The sequence below is a fragment of the Homo sapiens genome, chromosome 2, assembly GCF_000001405.40.
Source record: "Homo sapiens chromosome 2, GRCh38.p14 Primary Assembly".
NCBI lineage: Eukaryota > Metazoa > Chordata > Mammalia > Primates > Hominidae > Homo > Homo sapiens.
In genome coordinates, this window is record NC_000002.12 from 138,070,081 (window position 1) to 138,078,424 (window position 8,344).

Below are 8,344 nucleotides of genomic sequence, written 5' to 3' on the forward strand. Positions count from 1 at the left end.
TGATCTTCAATCTTTGATATCCTTTCTTCGACTTGATTGATTCGACTATTGACACTTGTGTATGCTTCACGAAGTTTTCGTGCTGTGTTTTTTAGCTCCATCAGGTCATCTATGTTCTTCTCTAAACTGGTTATTCTAGTTAGCAATTCCTCTAACCTTTTTTCAAGGTTCTTAGCTTCCCTTCATTGGGTTAGATAGAACATGCTCCTTTAGCTGGGAGTAGTTTGTTATTATCCACCTTCTGAAGCCTACTTCTGTCAATTCATCAAACTCATTTGCCGTCCAGTTGTGTTCCCTTGCTGGCGAGGAGTTGTGATCCTTTGGAGGAGAACAGGTGTTCTGGTTTTTGGAATTTTCAGCCTTTTGATGCTGATTTTTTTTCCTCACCTTCGTGGATTTATCTACCTTTGGTCTTTGATGTTGGTGACCTTCAAATGGGGTTTTGGTGTGGACATCGTTTTTGTTGATGTTGACGCTATTCCTTTCTGTTTGTTAGTTTCCCTACTAACAGGCCCCTCTGCTGCAGGTCTGCTGAAGTTTTCTGGAGGTCAATTCCAGACCCTGTTTGTCTGCATGTTACCAGCAGAGGCTGCAGAACAGCAAAGATTGCTGCCTGTTCCTTCCTCTGGAAGCTTCGTCACAGAGGGGAAGCTGCCAGATGCCAGCCAGACCTCTCCTGTATGAGGTATCTTTTGACCTCTGCTGGGAGGTGTCTCCCAGTCAGGAGGCATAGGGGTCAGGGACCCACTTGAGGAGGCAGTCTGTCCCTTAGCAGAGCTTGAGTGCTGTGCTGGGAGATCCGCTGCTCTCTTCAGAACTGGTAGGCAGGAATGTTTAAGTCTGCTGAAGCTGCTCCCACAGCCACCTCTTCCCCCTGTTGCTCTATCCCAGGGAGATGGGAGTTTTATCTGTAAGCTCCTGACTGGGGCTGCTGCCTTTCTTTCAGAGATGCCCTGCCCAGAGAGGAGGAATCTAGAGAGGCAGTCTGGCTACAGCAACTTTGTGGTGCTGAGGTGGGCTCCACCCAGTCCAAACTTCCTGGTGGCTTTGTTTACGCTGTGAGGGGAAAGCTGCCTACTCAAGCCTCAGTAATGGTGGATGCCCCTCCCCACACCAAGCTCGACTGTCCCAGATAGACTTCAGACTGTGTGCTGGCAGTGAGAATTCCAACCAGTGGATTTTAGCATTCCAGGTACCACTAGGGTATGAGAAAAAAGTCCTGCAGCTAGCTGGGTGTCTGCCCAAATGGCCACCCAGTTTTGTGCTTGAAACCCAGGGCCCTGGTGGTGTAGGCACCCAAGGGAATCTCCTGGTCTGTGGGTTGTGAAGACCATGGGAAAAGTGTAGTATCTGGGCCGGAGTGTGCTGTACCTCACGGCACAGTCCCTCAGGGCTTCCCTTGGCTAGGGGAGGGAGTTCCCAACCCCTTGCACTTCCCGGGTGAAGCAACGCCCAACCGTGCTTTGGTTTCCCCTCCATGGGCTGCACCCACTGTCTAACCAGTCCCAGTGAGATGAGCCAGGTACTTCAGTTGGAAATGCAGAAGTCACCTGCCTTCTGCATTGATCTCTCCAGGAGCTGCAGACTGGAGCTGTTCCTATTCTGCCATCTTGCCAGCCACACTGTCAATTCATTTTGTAAAAGTCACCTCCTGAATGTGTAGGTTTTTGCAGTCACTGGATCAGCCATGCAGTCAATGCAATTCAGCCTCAGAAGGGGTAGAGATTGAGTGTTTTTAAACTTTTTTTTTTTTTACCTTCCCAACATGGGCAGTGTTTACTTTGAACAATTTCCAACACAGAAACCACAATTTATGAAAAGCTCTGAGGCATTAACCTTGTTGCATCCCCTTTCTTGCTGTCTGATTTTCTTTTCACCTTCAAGTACTTAAAAAGCACATTTGCCCTTGTTACTAGAAAAACTAATGTTGGGCAATTGATTAGAATCTTTACTAATCTTCGTGTTTCCTGAATTCATATTAACAAAAGAGTGAAAAACCAACGGCCTCATTTGAGGTCATTCCAAATAAAGCCTCATCTTCATCTTCCCATTTGAGCACTCAGTTTAAGAGCAAAACTCATCACGGAGCAGAAAAAAGGGCAAGTTTTAGCTGTTAAGCTTCAGGCTGACTTGATCCGAAATAAATGCTTTGTAATCTCTCTTTAAACAAAAGCTTTAGCTTCTGTAATCCTCTTCTTTATCATTCCTATGGAGCCTCCTGAGGCTGAAACTGCTGTTCACGTCATTTTTATAAACAGCCTAGATCTCTGCCCACAAATTGCATTCCAAGGGTGATGGCAGTGGTGTCAACTTAGCTCAAGGCGCAAGTGTCATGAGTCATGTTTCCCTCCCTTTGGAGACACCTGCCCAAGCAAATCCCAAGCATCCTCTGCTTGTTTTCTCATTGCACAGACGTCCTGTTACTGAGCATCCATTCAGCCAAGAGCCCTAGCTCATTAAAGCATGACTAAGAGACTATTGTGTCTGTCTGCACCTTCTGTTCTTGAAAAGCCTTCCATTTGGTGTGTAAATACTCACTGTGACACATTGCATTCAGGGCTCCATCCAAAGCCTGGTGCCTTTGACAGGGTCCTTCAGTGCCTGTAAATTTCCACTGCCTTTCCTAAAGGAAACAGCAAGGAGGCTTAGGGTCCATGACATCAAACTGATGGTCTTAGGAATGATGATCTAACCAGAATTGAAATGGCTTACACTGGCTGAGTCACCATGGACTTTCAAACAGGTATCTGAAGATACATGTTGATAAAAACCTTCATGTGGAGGCAATGAAAAGCTATACTTCAAATAAATGGCAAAAAATAAAAATAAAAACATAGCTCTGTGCATAAATATTAGAGAGAACATGCACCATTTGCTGCACCTCTTATAGCAGAGCCATGTGTGCTCCTGCCTGAGTGCAACACACATACACCATACACATAAGGACCCTTTCCCAATAGCTACCCTTCTACCTTCTCACAAGCTCAACTTCTAGCTATTTGTATGAGAAAAACAATCTCTGGGTAAATCCTCATAAGACTGACTTGGACTTAGAACTTGGGTCAGACTCATTGCCAAAGTAGAAGCCATAGCTGGGAATAAAGAGATCTGGATTCTTAAGTAGTGCCTAGTTAATGAAAGGGGCATGGGCTATTGAATTAAACAGACCTTGATTTAAATCCCCCATATGTTATTTATTAATTGTGTTAATAAGCAAGTACCTTAAAGTGTGAGTCTCACTTTCCTCTTATATATAAGGCTTCCTGAAAGCATTAACAGTGATGTATATGAACTGGCCAATACAAAGTAAGACCTCAATAAATGGTGGGCACCTTCTTTTATATGCCAGCTTGTATTCTTATTGGACAAGGTATGCAACCTCTTTGGGCCCCAATTTCTTTCTGAAAGAATCAATTCTAGTGCTCAAAGATTCAGAACTTAGTGCTTACACTTTGGGAAGGAGGACTGATGTAAAGAATCAGGATTTTCTGGACAAGTTGATGAATCTCCTCCCTCTCTTTGGTGTCCCTGAATGAGTGATAGATGGATAAAAGTCCAGTGTCCACATATGCACAGATGCTAATAAAATGAGGTGGAATGATGGTAAGGCCTTAAAGTAGAAAGTATGAAACCTCCACTCTTGTCTTGGCTTTCTCTCTTTCCCTTGCTTACTCACTCTATCTCCTTCTCTCTCTCCCTTTCTCCAAATGTCAAATGTAATCTCTGCCTTAAATTTTGTAAAATCATCAACACCCTTGTAAAACAACATACAAACATAAGTTATTATTATTAACTATGTAATCATTGTTGCAGACATACTTTTAAGTCAGTGTCTCCAATCTTCCTTGGCTGTAAACTACATTCAACTCTGTATTTTCCTAGAAAGAGGTACTTGAAGAAAAGATAATGCTCTTAGAGGGCGTTATTTAGCAAATACAGGGTAAAGGAATCATGTATTTTTTGCATTTGGGGAGTTTTCTGAAAGTTCTCTTTTCCACACCCATACTTGATTTGTATTAGACAATTTCATCTCTTACTCAGAAAAAAGGCAGGGTTTCACACTCTGCCTAATGTTGTAAAAGTTTCAAAAAAGCTTTAAAAAATGAGAGTAATTTTGTGAAGATTTTCTTGACTGCTGTTAGAAAAATTAACTTCCTACAAAGGAAACAAATGCAGCTGTACCCAAAATGGCATCATTTTAAAAACTGTGCATGTACAGGGACTCTCTTGATCCCTTATAATAGGTAAAGGATAATAGAATTGAAATGGGATTAATCAGTGTGTATATGTGTATTCTGTTTTGAGTTTATCCACTGGTATTTTTCACTTTCTTTTTTTAAGGTTATCAATCTGTCCTAAAATTGCCTTCAAAAGACATGAATTTGTCTGGCTCAAACATTGGAATTTTCATTCTTTCTCCTACTGATTTTAGTAACTACGGTAACAAACTGATGTCTTTGGCTGCCTTCAGTTCCTCACCTTATGGATATTTCCAAAAAAGGTGCTAACTTTGAGTTAGCAAGGTGCATCTCTAGAGCAACTCTGATAGTAACTAATCATGGAGTAATATCCACTAATATTCCATATTCTATTGGTTAGAAGCAAGTCCCAGGTCCCACTCATGACAGGAGGCAGGGGGTATGAGGGTGGAGTCCACCTTAGAATCTGTCCATCACAATTAGTATAGAAGGCAAAATCTTGGATGGGGTTAAAGGACCCTTCAGGAGCAATCAATACCCTTCAGGAAGGTAAGATTTGAGGTGGTGATAGAGATAATAATGTGGCCAGTCCAGGGATGCTCATACCTGGAACATCATTAAACCCATATTTTAAAAGTATTTGCTCCTTGTTTATCTAGAGAAGAAATGAAGACATTTGAGGGAAGAAAAGAAGAAAAAAAGAATGCTGAAAACAGTAGTCTAGTTTGGATATTTACTAATTTAAATAAATCCTTGCATTTAACTTCCACCTTCTAAAGAAGTAGGTCTAGTGATCATCTGCTGTTACTCAGCTATATTCTCCATGGCCTCCCCATCCTAACCCAGAAGCAGACTATAACATTATTCCTTTTAACTACAAATAATACTCATTCTAAGAGAAATTTTGGTAAATTTAATTTTCTCTCTTTCCATTTCCAGTGATACTACAGCATTGTCTAACCTATCAATTTCTAAGTAAGAGACTATATCCTTAATTGGGCTATGCTTTTATATTCATATGGCAGTCTTTAAACTCAGCAGTGTGAAAGAATTAAGGTGGGTAGTAGCCTTAAATACTATTAGTTTTTTGGTTTTTTTTTTTTTAAACACCACCTAAGACAACTTTTAGCTCCATAGGTCTAGGCTGTTTCAGTGACCCAGAAATCATGCCAAAAGAGTATTAGCTTCATTGTTAATATAGTCATAATAGTTTCCTACTTGTCTCAAATTTAAAACTACCAAGAATTTCCTTTGGTTACAAAACAAATAAATATCCCCTCATCGATATGCATAATATTGTAAAATTATAGTGTGAAAATTATCAACTTGTCTTACTTCATGGCAACAACTTTTTATGGCTCTTTCCTGGGGTTCCCACACAGGCTCTGGTTCCTGGGTCATTTCTCTCCTCCCATATAATTACCATTCCATAAGAGGGGATTATACTCACCCCTCCTTTGACTCCTTACCCTACTGCTATGTGGTATCAGCTTTAGATATTGTTGAAAAATGTTGTGATTTCAATCACAACGTTCTGATAATGACAATTTTATTAGTATGCTAAGACTTCCAGAACAATATACCGCAGACTGGGTAGCTCAAACAATAGAAATATATTTCTCACAGTTCTTGAGGCTGGAAGTCCAGGGTCAAGGTAATAACAAGTTTGGTTTCTCTTGAGACCGCTCTCGTTGGCGAGCAGATGGCCACTATCTTGCTGCGTCCTCACATGGTCTTTCACTTGTATGAGTGCACCACTAATGTCTTTCTCTCTTCTTATGAGAACACCAATCCCACTGGATCAGGGGCCCATCCTTATAATCTCATTTAACTTTCATCACCTCTTTAAAGGTCTTCAAATACAGTCATATTGGGAATTAAGCCTTCAACATATGAATTTGGTGGAAGGGGCACAGTTCAGCCCATAACAACCATCTTGCTAACAAATTTGGTAACAATTATTCAGGCTTTACTTGAATAATGCATTTTATTTCATACTCTTGACAACTCCCTTCTTAAAAAAAACTTCTAATCCCCCTCAGTTTCTACAACAGTATCCTTTCCTGGTTCTGCTTATTTTCTTGGCCACTCCTACTCATTTTCCATCCAAATTTCTCTTCTCACACCTTCCCTAATTGTTGTTAATTTCTATGCTCAGTCCCGAGCCCTGTTCTTACCTCACTTAAAATGATTTCCCTATGGAAATCACGCCACAACTTCAAACATGATCTACTTGCTACAGACACACACTCATAACTCTAGTGTAGACCTTCTCTTGTTCCTGAAATTATATGATTCACTTTGTGCTGAACATCCTGGGACACAGTAGGCATGCAATCTATACTTGTAAATTCATTCACTCATCCATTCTTTCCAAAATTATTCACTGATCACTTGCTAAATAGAAGGCACTGTTTTAAGTGCTTGGGATACATCATTAAACAGAAGAGACCAAGATCCTTGTCCATAGGGAGCTTCCATCCTGGCAGAGGTCAAGCAGTGGTCAATGAACATCCTGAATAAGTGAAGTATACAGCATGTCAGAAGGTGTAAAGTGCTATGAGTAAAGAAAAAGTAGAGCAAAAAAAGGAGGATTAAAGATGGGTCAAGGGGGAAGTTGAAGGATTAGATAGTCAGGGGAAGCTCAATGAAAACGGAATGTTTGAACAACGGTTTAAAGGAAGTGAGAAAATAAATCCAATTGTAACATAGGCATTTCAGATATAATAGGTCTAAAACCTCCTTTCAGCTCGTCTCTTCCCTGAAGTTCCCAATGTGATTGCCATTCATTCTTTTACTAGAGTGACCACATAAATTTGACCGCCAAACTGAAACACACTGGAAAATAAAAGGATGGTACTACAGGCATAATCCTGCCCAGCTCCAGACAAGCTTGAATATACAGATGCATGGGGGACTAGCTGTCACCCAAGACAGAAACTTGCGAGCCATCCTTGCTTTTTCTTTCTCCCTCATCCTTTTTTTTCCCAACTTGTCCCAATAGATCACCAAGCTTTTTGATATGACCTCTAGAATATCTCTTCTCCATTTTTACTACTGCTGTCTTACTTCAGGATCTTAGGATCTCTGACTAGGACAGACACGTGGCCTCAAAAATGCCCCACTGTGTCTCAGTCTGTTCCCTCTCAAATCACTGTCCTGAACATCAGACAGAATCTTCTTAAACACTCATATCTAATCTTGACATTCTCATTTAAATTTTCTGGAGAAAGAGGGGAAGGAAAGGTTTGGATAGAGAACATTTGCAGAGGCTGAGAAGAGCAGGCCCTGGCAGATTCAGGCACCCTCCCTGCTCTGCTGATGCAGAAGCCAACACAGCCTGTGGGTTCCTGCTGCAATCTAGACTGGTGAATACCTTCCCTGAAAGGTAAGAACATGGGGGGAATCAGCCACTTATCTCCAAAATCCACAATTTCCGCAGTTCCAGGTCCAAAACTCAGTGTCTCACTAAGATTAAATGGCCATTATTGTTCTTAAGATTTGGGAAATTAAAAATATATCAGATCTCTCTGTATTTCCTATTTCAGCCCAAATGAATCCAATTAGATTTCACTGCAAACTATAAAATACTCTAGGCCTATTTCCTCTTTAAATTGATTATAAATGTTGATGCTTGTAAGTATAAGTGCAAATTAATCTAGGGAATTCCACGAAATTTTATTTCTTAATTAAGTAATTTAAACTAAATTACTTAACTGAAATGACTACTCTGGCTCCTAAGATTGTTCAAGGTCAGACAAATGTAATCAAATATAATTTAGTTATTTTTCATTTGCCATAACCCTTTTCATCAAACTCATTTCACTGCTTTGGACTTGATAGAAAGAAGAATTTGCACTCTTGAACTCTCCAGAGACTGGGATTAAGATTATGGGAGGCAAGACGAGGTGACAACATTCAGGTCAATTGGAGAAGTTTCTGGAAAACAGAAATGTGGTCTCTATTACACTGAAAAAGAGGCAGGGTGTTAGACTGCCCAGAAATTAAACTTTCTGCTGGTATACGTGTGGCATTGCTCCAGTGAGCACAATCCATTTGGCCAGCCAGATGGACCAGTCCTGGCAGCTTTTCAGTCTCATGCACAAAACATTTCAGCCTGGGAAAGAAAAAAATCCCCAAACAAA

The 8,344-nt window shown here is 40.7% G+C and overlaps 1 annotated feature.

Moving 5' to 3' along the window:
* Nucleotides 1,990-2,491: an enhancer, noted in NCBI's record as "NANOG hESC enhancer chr2:138829640-138830141 (GRCh37/hg19 assembly coordinates)". NCBI's record gives its function as "activates a minimal SCP1, AML or CMV promoter by ChIP-STARR-seq in naive H9 embryonic stem cells {active_cell/tissue: H9 hESC(naive)}" and the evidence as "EXISTENCE:reporter gene assay evidence [ECO:0000049][PMID:30033119]".